General features: G+C 41.6%; 1 protein-coding gene and 1 long non-coding RNA gene across 4 annotated transcripts in view, besides 13 other annotated features; one reads left to right on the top strand and one right to left on the bottom strand.

Annotated features, from left to right (window-relative positions):
* Positions 189-25,754, top strand: TH2LCRR (T helper type 2 locus control region associated RNA). Of its 3 annotated transcripts, none has more exons than NR_132125.1 (3): positions 189-292; positions 14,061-14,145; positions 18,078-18,295. It is a non-coding gene; the product is annotated as a T helper type 2 locus control region associated RNA (long non-coding RNA). The 3 variants fall into 3 exon arrangements; NR_132124.1 differs by lacking the exons at positions 189-292; positions 14,061-14,145 and adding exons at positions 14,553-14,597; positions 25,452-25,754 and having other exon boundaries at positions 18,078-18,185; NR_132126.1 differs by lacking the exons at positions 189-292; positions 14,061-14,145 and adding an exon at positions 451-624.
* Positions 6,710-6,887: a silencer, noted in NCBI's record as "fragment chr5:131985148-131985325 (GRCh37/hg19 assembly coordinates)". NCBI's record gives its function as "represses an EF-1alpha promoter that drives an FKBP-Casp9 reporter gene in an ReSE screen in K562 erythroleukemia cells {active_cell/tissue: K562}" and the evidence as "EXISTENCE:reporter gene assay evidence [ECO:0000049][PMID:32094911]".
* RAD50 (RAD50 double strand break repair protein) overlaps positions 9,994-27,610 on the bottom strand; it is an 89,373-nt gene continuing 71,756 nt past the window's right edge. The window contains exons 22-25 of the mRNA NM_005732.4: positions 19,143-19,228; positions 18,120-18,262; positions 15,538-15,671; positions 9,994-14,165 (exon numbers count right to left, since the gene is read on the bottom strand). Coding sequence (NP_005723.2) covers positions 13,979-14,165; positions 15,538-15,671; positions 18,120-18,262; positions 19,143-19,228 — 550 coding nt within the window. The 3' untranslated portion in view covers positions 9,994-13,978. The remainder of the gene's footprint in view (positions 14,166-15,537; positions 15,672-18,119; positions 18,263-19,142; positions 19,229-27,610) is intronic.
* Positions 14,148-15,543: an enhancer, noted in NCBI's record as "RHS7_1396 bp enhancer fragment". NCBI's record gives the evidence for it as "EXISTENCE:reporter gene assay evidence [ECO:0000049][PMID:24661001]".
* Positions 14,148-27,080: a locus control region, noted in NCBI's record as "human ortholog of the mouse Th2 locus control region; includes conserved DNase I hypersensitive sites RHS5-RHS7; human LCR activity is inferred from the orthologous mouse region". NCBI's record gives the evidence for it as "EXISTENCE:sequence alignment evidence [ECO:0000200][PMID:15589174, PMID:15507491]".
* Positions 14,166-15,323: a DNaseI hypersensitive site, noted in NCBI's record as "RHS7, also known as RAD50-C; the nucleotide coordinates are approximate for this feature". NCBI's record gives the evidence for it as "COORDINATES:sequence alignment evidence [ECO:0000200][PMID:15589174]", "EXISTENCE:in vivo cleavage assay evidence [ECO:0001075][PMID:22955617]" and "EXISTENCE:manual assertion [ECO:0000218][PMID:24661001]".
* Positions 14,832-14,981: a silencer, noted in NCBI's record as "RHS7_150 bp silencer fragment". NCBI's record gives the evidence for it as "EXISTENCE:reporter gene assay evidence [ECO:0000049][PMID:24661001]".
* Positions 14,894-14,925: a protein binding site, noted in NCBI's record as "SP1-binding rs2240032C_Major fragment". NCBI's record gives the evidence for it as "EXISTENCE:protein binding evidence [ECO:0000024][PMID:24661001]".
* Positions 14,894-14,925: a protein binding site, noted in NCBI's record as "SMAD3-binding rs2240032C_Major fragment; binding is lost in the rs2240032 minor T allele". NCBI's record gives the evidence for it as "EXISTENCE:protein binding evidence [ECO:0000024][PMID:24661001, PMID:24866380]".
* Positions 16,645-16,724: an enhancer, noted in NCBI's record as "active region_23089". NCBI's record gives its function as "activates an Ori minimal core promoter by ATAC-STARR-seq in GM12878 lymphoblastoid cells {active_cell/tissue: GM12878}" and the evidence as "EXISTENCE:reporter gene assay evidence [ECO:0000049][PMID:35858748]".
* Positions 18,831-20,711: a DNaseI hypersensitive site, noted in NCBI's record as "RHS6, includes two fragments, also known as RAD50-A and RAD50-B; the nucleotide coordinates are approximate for this feature". NCBI's record gives the evidence for it as "COORDINATES:sequence alignment evidence [ECO:0000200][PMID:15589174]", "EXISTENCE:in vivo cleavage assay evidence [ECO:0001075][PMID:22955617]" and "EXISTENCE:manual assertion [ECO:0000218][PMID:24661001]".
* Positions 20,161-20,210: an enhancer, noted in NCBI's record as "active region_23088". NCBI's record gives its function as "activates an Ori minimal core promoter by ATAC-STARR-seq in GM12878 lymphoblastoid cells {active_cell/tissue: GM12878}" and the evidence as "EXISTENCE:reporter gene assay evidence [ECO:0000049][PMID:35858748]".
* Positions 20,380-20,580: a silencer, noted in NCBI's record as "peak5464 fragment used in MPRA reporter construct". NCBI's record gives its function as "represses an SCP1 promoter by STARR-seq MPRAs in K562 erythroleukemia cells {active_cell/tissue: K562}" and the evidence as "EXISTENCE:reporter gene assay evidence [ECO:0000049][PMID:32103011]".
* Positions 25,775-27,080: a DNaseI hypersensitive site, noted in NCBI's record as "RHS5, includes two fragments, also known as RAD50-O; the nucleotide coordinates are approximate for this feature". NCBI's record gives the evidence for it as "COORDINATES:sequence alignment evidence [ECO:0000200][PMID:15589174]", "EXISTENCE:in vivo cleavage assay evidence [ECO:0001075][PMID:22955617]" and "EXISTENCE:manual assertion [ECO:0000218][PMID:24661001]".
* Positions 26,566-26,586: a protein binding site, noted in NCBI's record as "ETS-1-binding site". NCBI's record gives the evidence for it as "EXISTENCE:protein binding evidence [ECO:0000024][PMID:20038639]".

Genomic DNA, 27,610 nt, shown 5'->3' with positions numbered 1-27,610 from the left:
AGCTGCGGAGGCTGGCGAGGGGGCGGCAAAGGTGGCGGTCCGAGCGCCAGGCAGGGCAAGGGCCGGCTGGACACCCGGGCCAGCGGCTCCCCGAGCGCCGGTGCGCACCGGCGAGGGGCGGGAGCGGCCGAGGGGCCGAGGCGCGCACGTGCCGCTCCAGCACCGGCCATGTCAGGCCGAGGGACCCCGCGGGCCCGGCCGAGCGGCAGCCCCTGCCCTGGAGGGTGGTCTCCAGGGACCAAGGCGTGGCGGGCGGTGCGGAGAGGCGCGGCACAGATGGCTACATCAGAGGGTCTGTTGCTTGTTTCTAGATTGTCAGCGGGGATCCACTCCCGTGCGGGTAATTTTAATTAACACTAACTACCAAAGGGCCGCTCCGGGCACTTGGCGCATGTGGCTCGCACCTGCCTGCAATGCGCTGCGTGGGCCGCCCGCTTATGGCCATGGGGAGCCTCTTCGCTTTGCTCTGGCCCCGAAGCGCTGGGATTGGGACCTCCCTTCCTCCCGACCAGCTCATCCTGGGAAAGCTGGGGTTGCTTTTTCGGGTTTCTCTGGACTCTGGGTCTCCGTTGGCAAAGACATGATGCCCAGTCAGGAGGAGTAAGGCCTGAGAGAGTTGTTTTTGTAAGTGAAAGGATTTAATTTTTTAGATTTTTATTTTTAGGAAAGTTACGAATGCAGATAATTTTAAAAATCAAGAAGGCTGATTATGTAAAACGGCAGCGCTGGGAATCCGTGCTCTATGGGCCTCTGGCATTGCTGCTCCTCTTGTGAGTGAGGCACTTACTGCCCTGCTGTGTCCCTTACTGTCTTTTAAAGGTTGTTTATAGGCCGGGCGCGGTGGCTCACGCCTGTAATCCCAGCACTTTGGGAGGCCGAGATGGGCGGATCACGAGGTCAGGAGATTGAGACCATCCTGGCTAACACGGTGAAACCCCGTCTCTACTAAAAATACAAAAAAATTAGCCGGGCGTGGTGGTGGGCGCCTGTAGTCCCAGCTACCCAGGAGGCTGAGGCAGGAGAATGGCGTGAACCCGGGAGGCGGAGCTTGCAGTGAGCCGAAATCGCGCCACTGCACTTAAGCCTGGGCGACAGTGTGAGACTCCGTCTTAAAAAAAAAAAAAAAAAAAAAAAAAGGTTGTTAAGAAAATCACAAGGAAGGAGGAAAAAATATATTTCCTATTCATTAAGTGGAGGTGGAACATCACAAAGGTCTTCAGCGTCACTGTCTTCACGTTGAGCAGGCCGAGGAGGAAGAAGAGGAGGGGTCGGTCTTGTCATCTCAGGGGTGGCAGAGGCAGGAGAGAATCCGTGGATAAGTGGATCTGTGCAGTTCAGAACCTGCTGTTCAAGGGTCAACTGTGTATGTAAAAAATTCAGTGGAATCTCCACCTTCCCTCACAAGTAACTATTTTTCTTAGGTGTTGTTTTTTTTTTTTTTTGGTATCCTATTAGTTTATGTAAATACAAGCAACTGTGAATATATGGTCTTATTTTCCCTTGTCCCTACATGTGAAGTGGCATCATATACACCTTTTGCACCCTGTTTTTCTCACTTACTATAAAAATAATATATTTTTGTATTCACACTTAGATTGGGACATTTTATGACTTTTCTTCTTTGTTCTCTCTTATTGGAACTGCCATTTTTTTTGACTATATACCTCTTGGACTTGTCCTTTAATTTTCTTTTTATTCTATTTTCCATTTAAAAAATTTCTCTTCTCTGGGATATTCTCATAGCTTTATCTTCCTGAGGGTATTTGATTCTTTGTGTGTGTGTGCGCATGTGCACATGCACGCTAACAGCACTATGTTCTTGTTTCATTGATATCTTCTAAGTTTCCTTTTTCATACATAATCTTTATTTTCTGCAAGTTTTCTTTAAAAAATTGTTTTGAACTGGGCGCGGTGGCTCACCCCTGTAATTCCAGCACTTTGGGGGGCCGATCGCTTGAGCCCAGGAGTTTGACACCAGCCTGGGAAACATAGGGAGACTTTACTTCTACAAAACATAAAAAAAACTTAGCCAGGCATGGTTGTGCATACCTGTGATCCCAGCTACTTGGGAGGCTGTGTGGGAGCATCACTTGAGCTCAGGAGTCGAAGCTGCAGTGAGTTGTGATCACACCACTTCACTCCAGCCTGGGTGACAGAGCCAGACCCTGCCTCAAAAAAAATTTTTTTTCCATCTTATAGGCTTTCCTTGCACGTTAGGTAATCCTGGATTGCCTGCACATGTTAAAACAGGGATCTCTGAGGGTAATTGTGTGGGAGGGGGCTGTTTCCTATAGGGCAGGTGGCTGACTGTTTTCACTTGGGGAACCTCCTGTGGCAGTTTCTTTGTCGTTTTTTTGGCAGGCAGGTCAGCTCGCGCAGAAAAGATTCTCCCTGTCTCCAGCATTCCAGCAGCAAGGGTGGAGAGAGGGCTGGGGTGGGGGCCTCAGCATCTGTTGACTGTTCCTGATTTCAGCATATTTCGACCGCCCTCTACTGTGTCTAGTGTTTCTTGGTCCAGATATCCTATCCGGAGAAAACCCTGCTGCAGGAGAGTCACTCGACTTTGATGAACAAAAATGGATATCTAACTGTTTCTTAAACTGAGTTTCAACAACTTTCCTTATTTTCACCCCCTTCTCTTCTGATGTCCTTGGTCTTCTCCCAGTTCCTGAGCATTCTTGGGATTCTGTAAATCAACATAGGTCTCAGCTGGCCTAGGATTCAGTTTTCTTGGGTCAGCCAAGTAGTCTGCCCACCGTCCCTCCACTTTCCACCTTTCAAACGCTGGTGCTGTCATCCATTTCTCCCATTTTGGTGGGTTTAAAACTTTAGAAAATTCAGTTACTGTCATTTTAGTTGGTTATAAAGTGGGAGTTTGTGTTTATTCCATTGTTTTCATTTGGAATTTATATTTTTAATGTAGAGAATTTATAAACAAGACAAGAAATAAGAGGCAAACACTAGTCTTGCACCCCTTTTCCCTGGCACTATAACACCTCTGTATCTTTGCTATGCACATTTACATTTTGTTAGAAAAATGAGATAATACATTATATAGTTTTTACTCCTTTTTCACTTAAAATATATGAAGAGCATTCTCCAATGTCAGTATTCTGCATTTAAAAAAAGATTACACAAAATGTTATTGTGTAAAGTACAGATATGCAAAAAAATAAAAAGCCCCATAGTCCCAGCATCCAGAGATAATAATCATTGTAATATTTTGGTATCTGTCATGCTAGTATGTGGATATGTACAGGGTAAGTACCTTATTCCTAAAATAAAAGGGAAATAACTTTTTTTCTTTTTCTTTTTTTTTTTTTTGAGACAGAGCCTTGCTCTGTCACCTACGTTGGAGTGCAGTGGCACCATCTTGGCTCACTGCAACCTCTGCCTCTCAGGCACAAGCAATCCTCCCACCTCAGCCTCCTGAGTAGCTGAGACTACAGGTGAGCCACCACACCTGGCTAATTTTTGTATTTTTTGTAGAGACCAGGTTTCACCATGTTGCCCAGGCTGGTCTCATACTCTTGGGCTCAAGCAATTTGCCTGCCTTGGACTCCTGAAGTGCTAGGATTACAGGTGTGAGCCACTGTGCCTGGCTGACATATTTTATTTACTTATTAGTATTTTTTTTGAGATGGGGTCTCACTCTGACACCCAGGCTGAGGAGCAATGGTGCAAACACGGCTCACTGCAGTCTCAAACCCCTGGGTTCAAGTGATCCTCCCACCTCAGCTTCCTGCGTAGCTGGGACTACAGGGCACCATCATGCCCACACACATTGGCTGATTTTTAATTTTTTTTTGTAGAGATAGGGTTAAACCTTTAGACTTACCACGGTTTTACTAATACCAGATCAAAGAGGTGCAAGATAAATGTTTGCCTTTTATTGCTTGTCTCTTTTATAAATTCTCTGCATTAAAAATATAAATTCCAAGTAAAAACAATGGAATGAACATAAACTCCCACTTCATAACCACTCAAACCATAGTAGCAACAACCTTATCCTGTTGCCCAGGTTGGTCTTGAACTCCTGTGCTCAAGTGATCCTCTTATCTTGGCCTCCCAGTGTGCTGGAATCACAGGCATCAGCCACTGCACCTGGCCTATTACTTAATCTAATACATTTCTGCGCCAAGCCCCGGAAGACAAATAATTACAAATAATTCCCATAACAATGATAAGTTCATACATTCATTAAGTAAATGTTTATTGAGTGCTTACTGTGTAGGTGCTAAACAAAACAGCACAGTCTCTGCCCTCTTAGAGATACATTCTAGTGGGTAGAGATAATGAACAAACACATGATATATAGTATGTTAGACCGTGAAAAGTACAGTGGAGAGGGAAAAAAAAGAGGGCAGGTAGAATGAGTGAGTACACTATTATATATGGGATGGTGACGTAAGGCATCACTGAGAAGGTGTTATTTGAGCAGAGACCTGAAGGATGAGAGGAAGTGGCCATGCAGATATTTGGGGGAAGAAATTTCCAAGCTGAAGGCACAAGTAAGTGCAAAGGCCCTTTTCTTATTTTGTTCATGCTGCTGTAACAGAACACCTAAGACTGAGTAATTTATAAATAATAAAAATTTATTGCTTACAGTTCTGGAGGTTGGGAAATCCAAGATCAAGGCTCCAGCAGAATTCGTGTCTGGTGAGGGCTGCTCTCTGCTCCCAAGATGGTGCCTTCTTGCTGTGTCCTCATGTGGTAGAAGAGCCAAAGGGAAGAACTTTCTCCCTCAAGCCCTTTTATGAGGTCATGAATCCCATTCCTCCATGGCCTAATCACCTTTTAAGTGCCCCACTTCTTAATAGCATCACCTTGGGGATTAAGTTCCAATGTATGAATTTTGGAGGGAAACATACACTCAAACCATAGTAGCACCAAAGCAGGAAAATGCCCACTGTGCTGAGAATTAGCAAGGAAAGCCAGAAGGAGTGAGGGGAGGCATGGGAGAAGATACTGTCAGAGAAGTATGTCCAGAGCATATGGAGACTTGTAAGCCATTGAGAGGACTGAGGATTTCATGATGAGTGACATAGGGAGCCACTGGAGGTTTTGAGCAGAGGAGTGACATGACTCAATTTACCTTTTTTCTTTTTTTAAAAAAATTTGAATTAACGTTATATTTACGGAAAAGATACAAAAATAGTACAGACAGTTTCCATATCCCCTCCACTTACCCAGCTTCTCCCAATGGTAACACATTACATAATCATAGTGCAATGATCAAAAACAGAAAAATGAGCATGGATTTATTAAGTAAACTGGATCCTATTCTAATCTCACCAGTGTTTCCATTCACATCCTTTTTCAGTTTCAAGATCAACCCAGGATCTCACAGTGCATTGAGTTAATTCTCTTTGGTCTCCTGCAGTCTGAATGGTTCCTCAGTCTTGTCTTTCATAACGCTTACATTTTCCAGGAATACTGATGAGTTATGCTGTCAAATGTTCCTCAGTTTGGTCCCCTTGGTGTTTTCTCCTAATTGCACTGAGGTTCTACATTTTCACAGAGATGAAGTTGGGGCCTTCTCACTGCATCAGGTCACAGGGTTCATGAGGTACATGCCTTCTTATTGGTGATGTTGACCCTGACCACTTGGTTAAGATGGTTTCTGTCAGGTTCTTCCATGATAAAATTACTATCTTTCCCTTTTTAGTTAATATATTGGGAAAGATAGTTTGAGATTATATAAATTTTTTCTCAGATTTGTGCCTACTAATATTAGCTTCATCAGTGACTCTTGTCTGAAATGATTTTTATTGTGGTATTTGCCTAGTGATGACTTTTCTTTTTCCCTTTCCTTCTACATTTATTACTTGTAATTCTACTATAAAGAAGTGCTGTCCTTGTCCCTCATTTTTTTTAAAGTAAGTACTTGTGTATAGCCACATAAGTTCATGAATATTTATTTTACTCTATCGGTTATAATCCAATACTGTCTTTATTTTGTTTCTCAAATTGTTCTACCTTTGATCATTGGGAGTTACTTCAGGTTGGGTTCTGTGTTCTTTGAACAAACTCTACCTTTTTTTTTAAAAAAAATATTTTCTTAATTTCTGGCACCACAAAAAATTCTAGGGTCATTTTGTATTTTCCTTGCCTCAGCCCTGAAGTCAACCACTTCACCAAGGAGCCAGAGTTCTTTTTATTGAAGAGCGTGTTTTAAAATCGAGATCTTGGAAGTAGGTGTCCTCATTATTACTGGGGTGTCATCACACTGGGCCCTCTTTAAATAACTTTGTTACTTTCACTATAAGTTTTCATTATTTTCTTAGTGGTTACCCTGGGGATTACAAATGAACACCTTAATTTAGATGAATGTCAACTTAATTTCCATTTCAAAAGTTCCTATATAGCTCTGTTGCCTCTCTCTTTTGTAGCATTATTGTCATATAAATTATATTTTTATACATTATAAGCCCATCAACAGTGTTAAAATTCTTAATGCAGTTCCCTTTCAATCATGTAGGAAAAGAGTTACAACCCAAAATACTTTTTTTTTTTTTTTGAGACCGAGTTTTGCTCTTGTCACCAAGGCTGGAGTGCAGTGGCGTGATCTCAGCTCACCGCAACCTCCGCCTCCTGGGTTCAAGAGATTCTCCTGCCTCAGCCTCCTGAGTAGCTGGGATTACAGGCGCCCACCACAACGCCTGGCTGATTTTTTGTATTTTTAGTAGAGACAGGGTTTCACCATGTTGGGCAGGCTGGTCTCAAACTCCTGACCTCAGGTGATCCGCCCACCTCGGCCTCTCAAAGTGTTGGGATTACAGGCATGAGCCACTGCTCCCAGCCCCCAAAATACATTTATACTTTTATATTACCTATATATTTACCTTTACCAGTACTCTTTATTTGAGTATTCATGAGCATTTGAGTCTAGTTTCATTTTACCCTAAAGGATTCATTCTCCTTTTATATTTCTTGTAGGGCAAGTCTGGTGAAGACAGATTATCACAATGTTTGTTTATATGGGAGTGTCTTCATTTCTTGTTTTTGAAGGACAGTTTTTCTGGATACAGAATTCTTGATTGAGGCTGGGCACAGTAGCCCACACCTTAATCCCAGCACTTTGGGAGGCCAAGGTGGGAGGACTGCTTAAGACTAGGAGTTTAAGACCAGCCTGGGCAAGACAGCAAGACCCCCTGTCTCTTAAAAAATTTTTTTTTTTGAGTGTGGTGGCACATGCTGGTAGTCCTATTTGAGAGGCTGAGGAAAGAGAATTGCTTGAGCCCAGGAGTTTGAAGCTACAGTGAGCTATGATTGCACCACTGCAAAAATAATTCTTGGTTGATAGTCTTTTTCATTCAGCACTTTGAATATGTCATCTCACTGCTTTCAGGCCTGCATTGTTTCTTAAGAGAAGTCACTTCTTAGCTTTACTTGCTTCTTTCGTTTGAGATCTCTTTTTCAACAATTTGACCATGATGCATCTAAATGTGAATCCCTTTGAGTTTACCCTACTTGGAGTTTGTTCAATTTCTTGGATACGAAGATTAATGTTTTCATAAAATTTGGGAAGTTTTGGGCTACTATTTCTTCAAATAGTCTTTCTGCTCCTTTCTCTCTCTCTCTCTTCTGGGATTCTCATTATGATTGGTATACTTGGCATTTTGGTACACTTGATAGTGTCTCAAAGGTCTCTGAAGCTCTCTTCATTTTTCTTCATTCTTCTGTCTATTCCTCAGACTGTATAATCTCAATTGACCGGTCTTTGAACTCACTGATTCTTTCTTCTGCCAGTTCAAATTTGCTGTTGACCCCCATCTAGTGAATTTTTATTTCCATTACTGTATTTCTCAACTCCAGAATATCTATTTGATTCTTTTTTATAATGTTTGTCTCCTTACTGATAGTCCTGATAATTTGGTGAAACATCATTCTCATAATTTCCTTTAATTCTTTAGACTTTGTTTCTGTTAGTTCCTTGAACATGTTTATAATAGCTGATATCTAAAGTCTTTGCCTAGTAAGTCTAACATCTGGGCTTCCTCATAGATTGTTTCTATTGACTGTTTTTTAAATTGCTGTTTATGGCATGGGTCAGATGTTCCTGTTCTTTGTGTGTCTTGTTTTAAATACTCTATCAATTATTGAAGTCAGATTACCTACTCTCCAGGGCTTGCACCTGTTACTATTTCTTATTGTTGCTGCTGTTGGTTTGTTCTGTGTCTTTCCTGGACTAATTCTGCAAATTCTATATGCTTTGTCATGTTTGGTTCCTGAAGTCTCTACTCAGCCTAGTGGGTAAGCGAATAATTGGACAGATATTTCTTTCTAATGCCTTGAACCAATAAATTTTCTAGCTTTTGTCAAGTGTGTGCATGTGTGTGTATTTGTGGAGTCATGTCATTGATGTGTCAGCAGACAGTTTACAACTGCCTTTATCTTCATTTCTGGCATGAATTGAGTTTCAAGGTCAGTCAGAGATGAGAGCTTAGGACCCTCTCAGGACATGCATACATCCCTGCACATGCACATGGACTTCTAGATTCCCAGGAATATGCTTGAGCTTGTCAAAGCTCCCGTGGACATCTTCTTCCCAGATTTTTCCTTTTAAGTTTCTTGGTCAGCCTTTTGTTAGCTCCACCTGGTAACGCTGCCTCAGGCAGCCACAGGGTTAATCAGTTGCCACTGATTATTCTGCAGGAAGGGCTGTTTTCAGAGTGAGCTCTGAGTTAAGTCAAATAAAGATAGGTCCTGAAAATGGAGCTTTTCAGTGAGTTGCCAGACAAGACAAATAGAGGCAGTTCTCTAGTAGTGGAGATCTGGGGGACCTCCAAATCTATTCTGTCTCCTCCAGTGGCTACTAGGTTGCTGATTTTCACAGATACTAAGAGGGCTGTTGGTTTTCAAGTTACCATGGATTAAGAGAGAAGGGCATGGGATTAGGGCAACTTAAAATGCCACTTTCTGCTCTGAGATTCAGCTGTTTTCCTTTAATAAACACACCTCAGTTTGTCGCTATCCATTAGTTAATTTCCAAAGTTCTGAAAAAGTTGATTTTGACATTTTTGCCAGTCTTATTGCTTTTATGAAGAAGCAGATTTTGGATGGCTTTTACTCCACCCTTATGGAAGTAGAAATCCTTTAGATATTAAAATTATAAATTTGTACAGATCCTTTGGATTCAATCAACACCAAGGGGTTCTTTTTATGGCCTCCTTTCCTGATATGCAAACACCTTTTTCCAACAGTGAGAAACTCAGTTCGTATTATCTACAACACAGGTATGTATTTGTTTGACTTTAGTATGTACATAAAAATTTCGAAATTGCTAACCCACACCCCTGTGAGAAACACATTTTCTTGAGTTACTTTTTAAAAAGATCACTGGCTGCTGTGTTGAGAACTACAGGGAGCAGGCCCCAAATCAGTGGGAGCAGTTACGTGGTTACTCAGATTATTCAGGTTAGAGATGGCAGTGGCTTGGACCAGAGCAATGATGGTTTAGATCAGGGGTCCCCAACCCCCGGGCTGCAGACCATTACCTGTCCTCAGCCTGTTAGGAACAGAGTCGCACAACAGGAGGTGAGTGACAGGTGAGGGAGCATTACCGCCTGAGCTCTACCTCCTATCAGATTGGTGGTGGCATTAGATTCTCACGGGAGTGCAAACTCTATTGTGAATTTGCACGTGAGGGATCTAGGTTGCGTGCTCCTTATGAGAATCTGACTAATGCCTGATGATCTGAGATGGAACAGTTTCATCCCGAAACCATCCCCCTCACCCCACCCGTCCATGGAAAAATTGTCTTCCACTAAATCGGTCTCTGGTGCCAAAATGGTTGGGGACTGCTGGTTTAAATGGTGAGGCATGGTCAGATTCCGGATGTTTTGAAAATTGAACCCATAGTATTAAACTGACGAATTAGATATAAGATGTAAGATAAAGAATCAAGGATAATGCCAATTTTTGCCTGAGCAATTGGAATAATGGAGTTGCCATTAACAGAAGAGATTCAAGTTCTGGGAGAAAGACTGGTTTTGGTCATTTTAAGTTTTAGACGTTTATTAGATATTCAAGTGCAGATAGATGCCCAGTTATCCACAGGCAGCTGAATATATCAGTCAAGCATTTAGGAGAGATCTGGATTGGACACAAACATTTATGAGTTATCAGTGTATAGATGGTGGTTGTAGGAGTGGTCAGTGCCCTGCCTATATCCTATGATCCTAGGAACTGCCAGTGTGCTCCTGCCAACTTTCAGCTGCTGCTGCTTTTTTTTTTTTTTTTTTTTTGTCTTTTTAGACAGGGTCTCACTCTGCCACCCACCCAGGCTGGGGTGCAGTGGCACAAATCACAGCTCACTGCAGCCTTGAACCCTCAGACTCCAGGGATCCTATCTCAGCCAAGTAGCTGAGACTACAGGTGTGCACCACCATGCCTTGCTAATTTTTTAAAAATTTTATGTAAAGATGGGATGTCACTATGTTGCTCAGACTTTCTTTTTAAACTGTGGAAAGCAGCTGTGTCGGTACACATGGCAAGCCAGTAACTAACATGTGCTAGAATAGCCTTCACTCAGTAACCCTGGCAAGTTGTTATATAAATACTCCAGGTCTCTTGCCCCTTAGGTGGGATAATTCTGAGGTATATATTTTGCCAAACTCCCCAGAGTCTCCCTGGGGCACCAAACTCTAATTGCCCACTTACCGTAGCTGGCTTAATAGTAAACTTTTCATTGGCTGCTTTCTCTTTCATACACAATTTCCCCAATTTCCTACTGATTACTTTCACGTGAAGCATTGTTTTACGCTCTGCTTCTGGGAGAACCCAAACTAAGATAATTTAAAGCTATGAGACTGGATGAGATCACCAAATAAGTGAGCACAGAGAAGAAAAGAGGTGCAGACTCTGAGTACTAAAACCTGTGACATTGAGGGGCCAGGGAAATGAGGAGGAAACAGCAAAGGAAACGGGATGTGCAGGTGTTGCAGGGAGGAGGCAGAGCTGGATTCCAGTAGGGCTGGGGATTGTCGGGACAGTTTGAGTACAATGCAGTGGAGGGTGACATAATGATGAGCCATGGAATTTAAGTTGAATAAGGAGAGAAGTACAGGCATCAGGGAAACAACCTGTGAAAAAGCCATAGAATCAATGGATTGAAATCTCAGTGGGGTCAAAGAATTGCTGGGGTTGAGGACCACAGGAAAATTGTAGACACCATGGGGTTATTGGAGAGTGAGATGCTTAAAACTGAGATTTTGGAGGGGTGCAGTTATTGTTATTAAAAGGACGGGGCTCTAGAATAAGACCATAGAACTGAGTATCTTCTCACTGGAGGAAACAAAAAGGGGCTGAGGGAGGCCAAGGTAGGCAGATCACTTGAGGCCAGACGTTCAAGACCAGCCTGGCCAACAAGGCGAAACCCTGTCTCTACTAAAATACAAAAATTAGCCTGGTGTGGTGGTACATGCCTGTAATCCTAGCTACTTGGGAGGCTGAGGCAGGAGGATTGCTTGTATCAGGGAGGCAGAGGTTGCAGTGAGCTGAGATGGTGCCATTGCACTCCAGCCTGGGTGACAGAGCAAGACTCCACCTCAAAAAATAAAAAAGACTGAGAGGCCAAGGAGTTGTATTAGACCATCACTTGGATATTGAAATCAGCAATGATTATTAGTAATGGGGTGACACTGAACCGGGAGCTAAACTCTTCAACAAATAAGAGGGAGTGACCAAGCTGGGAATGAAAGATAACTGCAACAAGAGTGAAATGAAGACAGCTTTTTCTTGAACACTTACACAGTATTTAGTAGGTGGCAAGCAGTTCTAAGCAGTTTGTAAATAATGTCATTCAATCTTCATAACAACCCTACAAAATATGTACCATTTTACCCACTTTTACATATAAGGAAACAGAAAACAGGACAAATAACTTGCTCAAGGTCCCCAGCTAGTGAGTGGTGTGCTAGGATTTGAGCCCAGGCAGTCTGGCTCATTCTAACCTCCATCCATGCTGTGATGGCTATTCATTCCAATGTGGGGAAGGGGGATATTTGGAGACTGATCTAGAAGCAGCAATGAGAAGCCAGAAAGGCACCTATCCCACCTCCAAACCCATGGGCTTCTTGGAATGAAAGCAGCCACTCTCAGAAGTGCTGCCAAGGATGCCACATATTCAGGGGGAAACCAGATTTAAAATTGGGAAGTCTGTTTTAACTTGCAAATGATACTTTTGTTTCACTGCCTATATTGATCGTGTATTGCCTTTGTTATTCTTTGCTGCAACAACTAGCACTTTCATTAACATGTTGATAGAAGGTAACTGGCTTTAATATTTACTGAGAAATGTTTTATTTTGCAGTTAAGATGACTGTTTAATTTTGATTTAGCAACAGATAACATTAAGAAAATATTATTTGCAAAACTGTGAGTTTGCTAAAGCTAGGAGATGTTGAATTTTATCAAATATAGCTGCTAGAATTTTTTCAGAATTTTTTTCACCTTCGGTTTTATTATAGTGATGGATTTATCAACAGATTTTTCATTTTCTGAAATCTTGCATTCTTGGGATAAAAATATCTTGGTTATTGTGGATGTTTAATATATGACTAGAATTGATTTGCTCTTAATCTTACTCGTGATTACATTTAGGACCCCCCCCCACCCCACCACCACCCCCAGGATACTCTGTCTTAAGGTCCTTAGCTTTAATCACATCTGCAAAGTTTCCTTTGCTGTATAAAGTAACAGTCACGGGTTCTAGAAATCAGGACCTGTCTATCTTTGGGGGCCAACCATTTAACCTAGCACAGATAGATGCCTTAGGACCTTAGGGCTTAATTCTCTTCTGGACCCAGTTGAGAAAAGCTGTCTAGGCAAACATGCTCATTATAGCTACAGATGGCACAAAACCATGCCATGTGACTGAATCAAGACCCGGTATGGTCCTGGCTGACTCTGAATGACAAAACTCTACAAAGCATAATTCAAAAGCGTGTGACTTGGTTGCATTCTGTGTGGAATGGAAGGATTCAAGATGTCAGCTGGCAATTCCAGGAAAAACTGTGATTAGGCTTTTCTTAGAAGTGGCATCTGAAGAGCAAATGGAGAGGCCTGTTCTTCCAGGTCTGGTTGGACCCTACAGGGAGCAGGCCTTGACTCTGTGAGTGAGCCTGGCTTGCCTTCCACATGGCAATGCCCACTTAGAGAGGAATCAGGATTGATGGTGAAGCCAGTATGCTACACAGGATAGACGCAGAGGAGTGTTACAGGCTTCTTCACGATGGGCAGATCAGGCCTCAAGTGGTCAGAGCTTTCCAAAGGTGGGTGTGCACAGTGGAGAATTTCCTCTCTGTAGAGAGAGCTCTGAGTCTGGATGACCATCTGGAAGGGATATGTAGGAGAAGAAGGTGGTGGGTACTGACTTAGATGATTACTTAAGGTTCCTGTCAAACTTTGAGACCCCATTCAACTACTTCAAATTTTAGTTGGGGAAACCAAGTCCCAGAGAGAGAGGTCACTGGATTTATAAAGTTAAAAGCAGAGCCAAACATACATCTCACCATTTCTGGTCATCCTCAGATATTAATACTCAGTTTTTCAAACCACATGCAAGGAAGTAAATTCAGAGGTAACATTTAACTATGATTTAAAAAAATACCAAAACCATAAATTTTCAAGGCAGTAATTATCTCCTTCTCAACAGTGCTTTGAGAAGAAGCATGCATTTGCACTGGGGAGGGAGGCACAGAGTCGAGTCTCGGCTGTACTGCTGAACCCTGAAGGCCTGACAGAGGCTGCCTGGAATGGGATGAAGAGCAGCAAATCAGAAACAGGCAATCTGTCCAATTTTCAGTGAAACAAGTTTCATGATTTTAGAACCTCTCAACATCCAAAATCCTAGACACAATGTTCCTTTGAAAGAATATATTTTCTTATTGACTAAGTTGATATGAGAAATAAGTTTCTTATTATACACTTTCTGAGGACCTACATTTCTATGGCATTTAAATCTTGGATATTTTTAATGAACATTGAATCCCAGGGAGCTAACACTGCATTTCACAATCTCTGAGCACTGATCGATGTTCTTTTTAATCCTGTAGAATTTCTCCACATATTCAGAACGTCCTAAAAGCTCCACAAAATCTTCATCATGAGTGATTACCAGAAGCTGGAAGTTACGCTGCTGTGAGCGACTTTTTATTATCCTGCAACAATATATTCAGAACATATTATTAGTAAAGAGCATAACCCCTTCTTTGATTTGAAAAGTCACCGCAAACCTTGTCAGACACATGAACTTGTGCTGTGTGTCAGGGCCCCAGCTACCCTGCAGGAAGTGGAGGGGTGGCCCCAGGCCTTCAGGCCAGCCAGGCAGGAGTCTCTTCTCCTCTCCAGACAGTAGGGACACATGGCCTGACTCCTCACTTAGGTCTGGCTTAGGGACTCACAGGAATACAAGAACTAGTTTCTTCCAGATCAGAAGTTCTCACTAAAGCAGGTATAAATATTTTATTGAGTTTTCCTTAATATCCAAACTGTTCAACTATAGAAGGCTTACTCCTTCGCCTGGGATTTTCCTGACCTGTTACTACTTTTCTCTGGAAGAAAAATTTAAAAGTAATAAAGACAAACTACAGGTAAGGGGAATAACACTGCTTTCTTAAGAGCTGGGTCTACTTAGAATTCTGCCACCACCAGTCACTAGATGCATCATTACTATGACACACAGGGACCTGAGTGGGTGTTCTGGGAACATTTTGCTGAGGTAACCAGCAATGTGACTGAAACCTGAAAGACTTTTTCTTTTAGCTAGCCACTTATCCCCTTCCTGGAGCTGGATGCATTTGAGGTTTCAAAAGCACTCGCCCTTACTTGTGATGATGGCTGCAGAAAGGTGGCCCTGCGCTGCTGAGCTCTCCTTCTGGCCCTCTCTGCCAGAAAGGGACTGTCTGGAGCCAGGAGTGCCTGAAACACCTCCTTTGACCTCAGGGAAACTGCCTTTTTCTCTGCCAGCATAGTCCTTATGCAAGAGCTGCTTGACAACCTTGGCGTCTACACTGACCCCAGGTGAATGTGGTAAAAGGTGTGCAATTTTACCCTCACTGGACTTTACCTAATCTCAAATAAGCTTTTTGAGTAAGAGCTCTGTCATTCCTCACAGTTCTCTGACACATGTGGAAAGCTGGGGAGACAGTCCTAAACCCACTACCACTACCTGCAGATGTCTTAGCAGGGCATGCTAATTGCTGTGCATGACATGTGGGTTCCTCTGGTAGGTTTACAGGAAAACCAGGCCAGGAACCCCTCACAGTGACTCTCTCCCTGTGAACACACTTGGGGAGCTGCAGGATGTGTCTGGGGCTGCTGTTCACCATCTAGTTCCTTTAGGAGGGATCTGAAGAATTACTATCAAAAGGTAAAGCCCAGGGCCTGGCACCAACTGGCTTCCCCAAGAAGTGGGGAACACAGCTAGAGAACGTTTTCATCACAGAACTCTCTTGGTTTTGAAGAACTATCACAACCTGTCCCCAAATGTGAGATACTTACTCAACCAGAGCATGTGCAAGAGATACTTACTCAACCAGAGCATGTGCAAGAGATTCAATGTTTTCTCGGTCAAGATTTGTTGTTGGCTCATCCAAGGCAATGATGCCACAGTTGAGGCAGAACGTTTCAGCCAGGGCCAGGCGAATGATGAGTGAGGCTAATACCTGGAAAAAAGCCCCTATGTGAGAAGCCCAGCACAGACCTTCTCATCTCATGGCAGGCAAGCAGTCCTGACATGATCTTTTCAGCAGGGAAAAGTGGGAAACGTCACAGGTTCACTGTTAGGTAAAGCACTGCCCTCTGGGAGAGCCCAGCACTGGGACCAGATTCTTATGTCCTCCAGAAGGAGAACCTGCATGATCTCAGCCTATCATTCACCACAAAACAAAATGCTCAGAACAACGCTGATGCTCTCACATAAAAAATTACATCAGCTACAACCAACTTGAGACCAAAGGCTAGAAACAGAGACAATGCCATTTATCTGTAATTTTAATAATCCTGTAAGATGAGCAACCTTAAAAATTCTTGACCTGGCTATTTGCCTGATAATGGGATCTGTTAGAAAACTTCGACACGTTTTCTAGAGCCTCTCACTTTTTCTCTGCTACCTTTAAATTTCCATATTCTTGTGTATAATCCTGAGACTGAGAGAATAAAAAAGAAAATCCTAGGTCAAAGTATCAGGAGTATAGAAATGTGGTTTCAGTTAAGCTTACCTGTAGAAAATCCAAGTAACTGGAACTGTTAGGCATTTTCGTGGTTACTAGAAACCTAATACTAAAACCCTCAGACCCACTGAAACCATCTGAGGATACAAGACACACAGAATTGAGAGAGTAGGGCTATTCTAGGAAGTATAAACTACTCTGGTGTGAGCTGTAAGTCCCCTTTCCCCCTCAGTTTGTGGGTGGGTGCGCACACATCAGTGAGTTGGTAATTTTAGAATAGTTTATGTCTTTTCTTTAATGCCTAGGCAAGCCAGAAGACAGGGCCACAGCTTGGCCCTGTGAGGGACAGGCATTTCCTTCCTGTCTTTGAATCCAAACTGCTGTCAACTCTACCACCACCCACTCACATGCAGAGCCCCTGGCTGGCTGCTAGAGCCTCAGCAAAAGCCAGTGTTAGGTAGGCTGGAGGCCCACCTCCATTATTTGTTCTCTCCCCTCACACCAAGGAGACAATTATTGCTAATTAATTTTCATAACTCAGAATAGCTACAAAAAATCTTTTTCCTCAAGATATTTTTGAAAGTATTTTTAATTCAAAGAGACCATGTTTCAAACTCTGTATTTTCTCATTTATAATTACCACTAAAAATCATCAAAGCACGTAGGGATACTGATTACAGATCACAAGTTTGTCATTTTTGTAGACTATGATTTAGACAGTAATCTGCAGATGCTTTAAATTGGGATCAGCTGTCTAGGCTGACAACATAATACATATATGCATGGCATGTTCTTTTTTTTTTTTTTTTTTGAGACGGAGTTTCGCTCTTGTTGCCTGGGCTGGAGTGCAATGGCACGATCTCGGCTCACTGCAACCTCCGCCTCCCAGGTTCAAGCAATTCTCCTGCCTCAGCCTCCCGAGTAGCTGGGATTACAGGCACATGCTACCATGCCCAGCTAATTTTTGTATTTTTAATAGAGACGGAGTTTCACCATGTTAGGCTGGTCTCGAACTCCTGACCTCAGGTGATCTGCCCGCCTCGGCCTTCCAAAGTGCTGCGATTACAGGTGTGAGACACCATGCCCAGCTGCATGGCATGTTCTTTAAGCAAAAACTGCAAACTATGAAAATGAGTTAGATAATGTAAGCATCTATTTCTATGATTTTAGAATTTTATTTAAAAAAAGTCAAGGGCCTAGAGGTGTTATCAAGTGTAATCTTCTGCCTTGATCTGAAAGCAGAAAGCTCAAGTATCTGTGACATCTTTGTTACAAACCTGTGCACAGTGAAGGATCCAGCCTTGTTCCCCAAGGATGCCATATTCCTGATTCTTTAAAACTTCATTCCTCTTCCTGATTTCCAATGTAGGCTGTCCTCACAGAGCCTTACCTGAAGCCAGATGGCCTGACCCAGCAGCTAAGTCTTTGTGTATGCTGTGGTAGGGACTTAGTTCTATGAGGGGCTACTTTCTTAATGAGACTCCTTACTATACTGGAATATTCATTCTAGCTTAAGCTAGAATCTGGTTTGCAATACTATTATGTCATTGATTCTGAAACATCTTATGGTTATAATTGCATTTTTTCATTCCTGCTGGCACATAAAATAGTGGTATGTCTTATAACTGATGAGACAGTGACCTTATTCTGATAAGGAGTGCCATGAAAACTCTAACGGGTCTTCAGCTTCTTGTTCTACATTTAGCCTATCCTGTGAGAATGCTTCAGGCCCTTCTTTTAAAAGTCTACATAATGTTGCAGGAAATGTTGGTTAGCTTCAGGAGAGTGTAATAATAGTAGCTGAGCCTGATTCATTTTATATAGCAGCAAAGAGCTTCCCACCATTCAGGTGTAGCCTTGGGTGCTTCCACTGCACTGATGTTTGTTTCTCTCTTTCAGTTACTTGGGTGAGTTGGCTCCCCAGGCTTTTGAGATACCTGCCTTTTGTCCAGCACTGCATCGTCCTCGCATATCCAAGGCTGTGTCTCCCTTCAGCATCACCACTCGGTAGTTATAATTCCGCCTTTTATCAGAAGCTGATACATTTTCATCGGCATCAGACCGTATTTCTATGTATTCAATATCTGACACAGGAAGAAGAATATTTTAGAGGAACCTATGCTCTGTAGCCTTTTGTCATTTACAAACATATCAAGTAAGCCTAGGAACAACAGATGAGGCTGACATTACCAGAGGAAAACAATGGCTGGTGTGGAAACTCTTTCTCTGGCTGGGAGGATTCAAGAGCCTGGTGGTCTGGCCAGAAGCAACCCAGATGCCCCAGTTCCTCAGCCTCAACTCTTTCTTAGTTTCCCTGTTAAGAGTTTCCTCCAGGCCAGGCGCGGTGGCTCACGCCTGTAAACCCAACACTGGGAGGCCAAGGTGGGCAGATCACCTGAGGGCAGGAGTTTGAGACCAGCCTGGCCAACATGGTGAAACCCCATCTCTACTAAGAATACAAAAAATTAGCCAGGTGTGGGAGCGCGCACCTGTAATTCCAGCTACTACTCGGGAGGCTGAGGTGGGAGAATCACCTGAACCCAGGAGGTGGAGGTTGCAGTGAGCCAAGATTGCACCACTGCGCTCCAGCCCGGGTGACAGAGAAGTGCGAGACTCCATCTGGAAAAAAAAAAAAGAAAAAGAAAAAAAAAAGAGTTTCCTCTGGATGGTTTTTCTTATTGCATTTTGGCTTATCCCTATCTACACTATGACAGAACCTATTATGTCATCAGCTAAATATAATGCCTACTGCAGTCAAATATGTAAGTCCTGTTAGGCTCTGGAACAGAAAACTTTACATTTTCTTGCTACAAGATGTTGCCAAGATAAGAATTCTTAGAAAATCTCAAAGACATGCTTAGAAAGGGGTCCAGGGAGGTAATGCTGGCATGATGAGAGGTCATAAGGGGAAGAGCTGCGGAGAGGGCTTTGGAAAGAGCATTTGTGATACACCATGGTACTCACCTTGTCCACGATAGGTACTTCGCCACAGGTCACGTATAATTTTATTGATTTCTTCCATTTTCATACTGTGAAATTTCATTATTGCTCTGGAAAAGGAAGTCATTGGTACTTCATATATATAAAAAATAATTATGTGTAATAGTAATATTAAAATACATAAAATATATAATATATAAAAAATAGAAATATAAATAACTTCCTCAATATTTTCAATGGTAAAAGTAGAATATAGTAAGAGCTACAAAAATAAACAGCAGCAAAACTTTGCTGCTTGGCTAATACTGAAAATTGGCAGGCTTATTTCTAGTGCTCCAGGGGTACCCTTCTCCATATTCACTCTCTAGGATACAACAAATACTCCTTTACGTAAATACTTAAATACTGTGAAAACTTCAGGAAACATAATTTTTTAGACTTTTTTCTTAGGCCGTGGTAACTTATTGGAGGGAATGCTTCCACTGATACTCACGGGTCACAGGAAGGCCTGCTGAATGGACGACAGGGAGTTAAAGGGTAGAAGGTTTACGGTTAGCCAAGGGGCCTGCAGTCTATGGGGAAAATAGGAGAATCGAACTGCCACCTTGTCCCTCTTCTATCACTGTTAAGGCTTACCAAAAGTCAGCTTCTTATGTTGGTTTTATTCCTCAGATCTTAGATTTTTACCAACTGGAAGCTTTGGTTCAGCGAGAATGATTTAGAAGCTTAAGCTGAACTGACATCAAAATTTTATTTTACCTTTCCTTCACAGATTCAGAAATCCTAATTCTAAATATTAACTTCCATATTTATATTCCAAATCCTAACTCTAAGCACTAAATTCCACTTAGTCCAGACATGTCCCTGTCCTCAACTCTCTTTTAAGGTAGTAGTTTCTAAACACTAAAAACAAAGAGGAGAAATGTTTGTAAAAGCAAAAGTAGCCTGTCAAAACCTAACATTGTTCCCACCACAGTCACCTTTCATCAAAAAGCCCTTAGGTTCTTTGGAAGCGGGTTTATGAACTAATAAATGTTGCACCAGTGGTAAAAAGGCAAACATTACTGCGATCATCATACAAAGGATGTGAGGATGTGAGGCGACTTACTTCCATTTGCAGGCCTCTTATCTGATGCATACAAAAAAAGAAACTGAATATAATGCTACTGCCTCTGTAGAATCATTTCGTGATCTTCTGGTTCACCAGCAAGAGAGAAAGAAATGACTCAACATAAATACATTTTAAATATCAGATGAAGGACTGTGAAGTAGTAGAAGACTGGAAAAAACCATATTCTGCTTGTTGATGAGAATGCAACAAGTCTCCATTTTCTACCTTATACATTTATCTCAGCCTAACATTTTATGCTCCTTTCAAAAGGAGACAAAACATCTAAGTATTTCCTAAAAACAAAACAAAACTGATGGAATGTTAGACCAATCATGTAAAGACTGCCTTTCCATAGCTTATATATCATGATCCTGATTTTTCAAATGACATTAAAAAAAAGTTATCTTTCCATTCAAGTTAAAAATCTTCAAAAACTAACATAAGCATTCTAATGTGGAGAACAAGCTCCAGACAAGGCAGGGGTGGCCAAGGCGCACACGTGCAGTCTGCCTTGGCTCCCTTATACAACACAGGTGGTGCATCCTGTCCCATGGCCAGGTCTGCTGAGACACAGCACTGCGGGAAAAAGATCTAGTTCAGGGAGAGGTCTCAACCCACCAAAGAGTGTGTCGGATGGAGTTGATGACTACCACTGTGGGACGGACCATTAACTCATCTTCGTATCCTCTCTGTCTACTATGGAATTTACAGCTGTACTGTGTAAGAGATGGGGATGACTAAGGTCGCTACAGTAATCTACATAAGGGAATAACAATGATAATAATGATTATTATTGATGACCATTTACCATATGCGAGACAAAACTATGCTAAATAATCAATTTCATTTAATCCTTACGACAATACTGGGAATTAGATACTGTTATCTCTATTTACCATTAACAAAACTAAGATTCAATGAAATCAGTGACTTGTTCAAGATCAGAGAAAAGTGGCTAGGATATTAACAGCCCTTGAATATGACAGTTAAAATTGAAAAGGCAGTCAAAATTCCATCTTTTAAAGCCACCAGACTCAGTTTTATGAGGGAATGTTATCAAATCTTCAAGACACACCTAGCTCCCAAGTATATAAGGTATGACACAGCAAGGAGAAACATAAGGGGAAAAAAGTACAAGGCTATTTTTCTTATGAATATAAACATTCTAAATAAAACGAAATTTAGTAGTAAGGGTAGTAAAAAGAATATATCATGACCAAGTAGTGTTTACAACAAGAAAGAAACAGTAAAACTGGGGAAAATAATTCAACTAATATAGTAGCAGATTAAAAAGAAAAAAATAATTTTTCAATAGATGTCATAAAAACATTTGATACACTATAACACTGAATTTTGATAAAATATCTTAAGTGAAAAATCAAAGAATGTTTTCTTAACTGGACAAAATGACTCCCTCAGATATCCACAGCAAGCATCAAATTTAATTTAAAATCTATAGAAGTGTTCCTCCTAAAACTAAGAAGAGAAAGATGCCTCCTATTATGGCTGCTCTAAAATAAGGTCCTGGAAATCCCTAACGATTCAGGGATTTCACGATTCAAATCCCTACCTAAAAAGAAATGAGAAATGAAAAAAAGAGAGAAAAGCCTGTCATTATTTTTGCAGGTGACAGAATTGTATGCTTAGAAAATCCAAGAAAATCAACTGAAAAATTATTCAGACTAATGAGATAGCCAGAGATAAATATATAAAAATGAAGTTTTATTATCTAGAGGCAAACACCAATAGGAAAGGCAATAGAAAAAAAAAGGATCCTATTCACAGTGGCGATAAAAACCCTAAAATGCCTAGGAATAAGTCTAACAAAAGGGTATAGGAGCTAGAGGAAAAAGCTGTAAAACTTTACAATAGGATAAAAGGAAATGATTGAGCAGGAGATGCATACTAAGGAGTCCAGAATGGTAGATGTGATATTACAAAGATGTCCGTTCTCCTCAAATAATCCATAAATTAAATGCAATCCAAACAGAAACCCCAATAAAATTAAAAAATGCTTAACAGAATCCATAAGCTGACTCTAAAGTTCATATAGAAGAGATAATACAAAAGAAAAAAAATAAATTTTAAAAGTTGGTATACAAAGGAAAATCCAGAAACAAACCCAAATGCATATAGAACGTTAGTTTATAACTGCAACAGTTCAAATCAACTGGAAAGTTTTCAACAGTGTTACAAAAGATAAAAAAAAAATTATTACCCGTTATCCAACCTCAAAATAAAATCCAAATGAATGAAAGGATTAAAAGCTAAAGTATTTGGGCAGCTGAGGTGGGAGGATTGCTTGAGCCTGGAGTTTGAGACCAGCCTGGGCAACATAGTGAGATCCCATCTCTACAAAAAAATTTAAAAATTAGCTGGGTGTGGTGGTGAGTGCCTGTAGTCCCAGCTACTTGGGAGGCTGAGGTGAGAGGATCAACTGAGCCCGGGAAGTTGAAGCTACAGTAAGCTGTGATCATGCCACTGCACTCCAGCCTCGGTGACAGAGTAAGACCCTGTCTGAAAAAACAAAAAACAAAAAACAAAAGCTAAGGTAAAATAAAACAATCAGATGAAAACATTTTGATAATTTTAGGATTGGGAAGCCTTTCTAAATAAGGAACAAAATTGAGAAGCCATAAATCAAAAGACTAAAGATTTGACTACCTAAAAATTAAAAGTTACAAAAGATACCATAAAGAAAGCTGAGGCAGCTGGGTGCGGTGGCTCACACCTGTAATCCCAACACTTTAGGAGGCCAAGGCAGGCAGATCACTTGAGGTCAGGAGTTTGAGACCAGCCTGACCAACATGGTGTAACCCTGTCTCTACTAAAGATACAAGAATTAGCCAGGCGTGGTGGTACATGCCTGTAGTCCCAGCTACTCGGGAGGCTGAGGCAGGAGAATCGCTTCAACCCGGGAGATGGAGGCGGAAGGAAGTAAGCTGAGATTGTGCCACTGCACTCCAGCCTGGACGACAGAGCTAGACTCTGTCTCAAAAAAAAAAAAAAAAAAAAGAAAAAACGAAAGAAAATTGATGGACAAACGATAAACTGGGAATAGGTACTTGCAATGTATGTGAAAATAATTAACATCTAGAATCTATTAAAATGTGACAAATCAAGAAACAGACAACCTAGTAGAAAAACTGGCAAAGAGATATGAATAGGTAATTCTTGGAGAAGAAATACAAATAGACAACATACAAAAAGACATTTAACTTCACTAGTAAAGAGGGAAATGTAAATTAAAGTGCAAGCTTTTTTTGTGCAGCCAATAAAATGTCAGTAACAAAATCCAGACATGGAATGGGCACTTTCATATACTATTGGTGGAAATTTTCTAAGTGTTTTTAGAAGGCAATTTGGCATTAACTAAAAAATATACATAACATCTGAGCCAGTAACTCCATTTCTAGGAAGCTGTCTTTTTGACATATCTGCTTTAGTGTGCAAAGACACACTCTGCAGCATTATCTGTAGTAGCACATATTTAAAAGCTTTCTAATATGTTCAATAGTGGTTAAATAAAGTAGATATCATGCATTTTACAGAATATGCAGCCATTAAAAATACAAGGTACTTGAATATATGAACGTAAAAGATTATCACCACGTTAAATGGAAAAAAAAACTCAGAAAAATATCTACCTTGTGATAATGCTTACAAAGAACAAAAAAGATGTATTTGGGTGTACTATGTGCAAAGCCATTGTGAGGGAAATGAAAATATGTCACCAACTTAATAATTCTTAAGGGCTGAATCAAAGTTAGACACTGTCATGGAAATGAGCCTAAGTCTACCTTGAAGTGTGTTCTGTGGTTTGCAGTTATGGAGCGTGGGGAAGCCCAAATATCTGTAATACAAGGCTGAATGGCTTTAGTTGTATAAGTGGTACAAAATATTATTAAGTACAAAGGTAGGAAAAAAATCACATATGTTTGGGAAGGGCTTAATCAACATAACATTCCAAGGATGGGAGAGATAGCACAGGAAAATATGGGACAAAATTGTTTGGTTAGAACACACTTGGTAGTAGGAATTGAAATGGGAAAGCCCAGGTATGGAAGTCATTCCTAAAATTAGAAGGGAATAGGGACCACCAGCTTTAGGAAAATGAAGCTGGCAGAAGTATAATGGGTGGAGGTGGGGGTAGGAAGGACGGTAAGAGATAAGAGGTGGGAAAGGTGCCACGGTAATAGGTGAGAGTTACTTAGGCTGAAGCCATGGAAAGAAGGCAGCTCTGGGCTGGGTGCGGTGGCTCACACCTGCAATCCCAGCACTTTGGGAAGCTAAGGTGGGAGGATAGCTTGATCCCAGGAAGTCAAGGCTGCAGTGAGCTGTGATCATAGCACTGCACTCCAGCCTGGGTGACAGAGTGAGATCCTGTACAAGAACCCTATAGGAGCTATTGAGTGACATATAGTGGCCCAATTAACTTAACACGCTTTTATCACTTGGACTTTACAGGCATTTAACATCAAATAACTTACAGAATGACCTTGAAAGTCCATGACTGTCTGGTGAGGCAAAGATTTGAATTTCATGGGCTGCAAACTGTTATGGTCAAGTAGCCATCTGGCTAGTGTATCAGCTCCACCACCTGCCTGGAGTATGCACATCTCTCAGTTAAATGCATATACTAACTCATGCGAAGTAGTATGATTTCTTTGTGAAAACTGGCTCTTAAAGTGAGAGGCCAGGTGAGGTGGCTCACGCCTGTAATCCCAGCACTTTGGGAGGCCAAGGTGGGTAAATCACTTGAGGTCAGATGTTAGAGACCACCCTGGCCAACATGGTAAAACTCTATCTCTACTAAAAATACAAAAATTAGCCGGTGTGGTGGTGGGCACCTGTAATCCCAGCTATTTGGGAGGCTGAGGCAGGAGGATCGCTTGAACCTGGGAGGTGGAGGTTACAGTGAGCCGAGTTTGCAAGAATGAACTCCAGCCTGGGTGACAGAGCCAGACTCTGTCTTAAAAAAAAAAAAAAAAAAAAGTGAGACTCTCTCGGAGCTCAGAAAATAATGATTTATAAATTACTTTAGTCTGATATTTAAATACTCATTAAGAGTCTGAAAGATTTCATTAAAAATTTCAGTAACAATCGATTGCATTTTATGAGGAAAAATGATGGCTTTAATGGCATTTATATTTCTGGTAATCCATGAAAGTCTTAACAAGCTTGTCCAGCCTGCCTTATTTTGTTGTTCTGTTTTGTTCTAGGCTTTTAGCAGACTGAAGCCATGGTTTTTAGTTTTGTCTCTAGTGATGAGCAGAAAAGAGGGATGAGGAAGAGGCTTTACTGGTCCAACCAGAAAGAGAAGCTAAGAACCCATGACTGGATTCTCTCCCTTGGACACCCCACAGACCAATATCTCACCTTCCAGGAGAAGACCCTTCCAGCTCTTGCTTCTTTAAACCTATTAACTTAGTTTTCTTTAGCTAGACTCCCAAACATCAGCTTTTACAATTCAGCCTATGGTTCAATCACTATGGCAAGATAAACATTTGTTTAGGTGTGAAACACCACTGGCTATCTTTGGGTTTTGTAATCTACCCTCTTGAGGTTGCAGGAGCTACTGTGAAACCTTACTGCATCCATGGTCATGATAGAGATGGTGACTCTAAGGTGAGCCCTGAATAAAGCCCTCATCTGAAGCTCCCCTCGAATGCAGGGACCCAGGCTCTGAAGAGCCTCACAGAAAGCTGGCTACCTTGGATGCAAAACTGTAAAGGTTACGTGTTTACAATGAGTCTTAAAAGAAGCATGACCTGGCCAGGTGCGTGGCTCATGCTTGTAATCCCAGCACTTTGGGAGGCCAAGGCAGGTGGATCACAAGGTCAAGAGATCAAGACCATCCTGGCCAACATGGTGAAACCCCGTCTCTACTAAAAATACAAAAAATTAGCCGGGTGTGGTGGCAGGCGCCTGTAATCCCAGCTACTTGGGAGGCCGAGGCAGAAGAATTGCTTGAACCCGGGAGGTGGAGATGGCAGTGAGCTGAGATCGCACCATTGGAGTCCAGCCTGGGCAAAAAGAGCGAAACTCTGTCTCAAAAAAAAAAAAAAAAGTATTACCTAATATGCAACCTTCCACATCTGGGGAAAAATGAGAGTAGAACATTTTGGGCATGGGGTAGAACACCATATCTTGAGTGATATATTCTAACATCATTTAAATTGGTATATTGTATTAGTATGGGGTAATACATTCCAAATGATGGATAATTTCCCCCTTTTCATCTATGTGTCTCTGACCACTGCCAATGCTTATACTTAGTGATGTTTTTAGATGATTACTAATAACAGATGGTAATCAGCTTTTCTTGAAAATGCACTGCTGACTTCCTGTGTTACCTTAAATAGACAGCTGAACGCAACAATTACACTGACTGCATGCTTTATTCTAAGACGTGAAAGAATGAGGGAAATTTTGTACCTTACTTTCTTCTGGGTGAGAAGGCAAATTTAGGGCTCACCGTATAAATCTTGAGAAGGCCACTGTTTGCGAGCATAAGCCACAAAGACTCAATTTTGGGGAAATTTGTATCACCTCTTTTCATTTAGAAGAATCCATCTGAGTACCAGGTAAGAGAACTCAGTAAACAGCCTGGCTTTGTTCCTTAACAAGCCTAAATTGCTAGAAAGCACTCCTGTACCTCTCCACCCCGCCAGGCTCCACCAAGCTCCCTCATAGGTCCTCATTCTGCTCAGCATGCCTCTGTGACTGAGGCACTTTTCTCTGCTGAAAAGCCCTTCCTTCTTATCCCAGGCCCAGGTCAAAAACAGACTATGGAGCACCTACCAAGGTCTCCATCAGACAGACTGTCAGCAGTTTGGAGGAGGGACAGGGAAAGATATTCCTGTTTTCCCAGAGCCTGACAAGAAAGTGGCAGAGCAAGGGTTGTTGAATTCTTTTTTATTTTTTCTCTTATAGCCTAATCTTGGAAGTGAAGGGAATTCTTATTCCTGCTGCCACTGGTTCTCAGGGTATGCAGGGATAGCTGGAGAGCTCCTACGTATGTTTTTCTATTCAGTGAATACATATGAAACCCCAGGTCTGCAGGTCAATGGGCTGTAAGAGAAGAGCTGACCTTGCAGCAAAATACTTACAAGTAAAATTGAAAACAAAACCAACCTGCCTATTTAACTTGGTCCCTGGTCCACTCTAACCATTGCCCCATTTTTCTTGCTCCCCGTCACAGGAGAAGTTGTTATAAGAATTATCTATATTCTCTGTCTCCATTTCTTTTTCTTTTTTTTTTCTGAGACAGTTTTTTTCTCTTGTTGCCCAGGCTGGAGTACAATGGCACGATCTTGGCTCACTGCAACCTCCGCCTCCCGGGTTCAGGCGATTCTCCTGCCTCAGCCTCCTGAGTAGC

Source organism: Homo sapiens, chromosome 5 (genome assembly GCF_000001405.40).
Source record: "Homo sapiens chromosome 5, GRCh38.p14 Primary Assembly".
Classification (NCBI taxonomy): Eukaryota; Metazoa; Chordata; class Mammalia; order Primates; family Hominidae; genus Homo; species Homo sapiens.
This window is presented reverse-complemented; position numbering and strand designations above follow the sequence as displayed.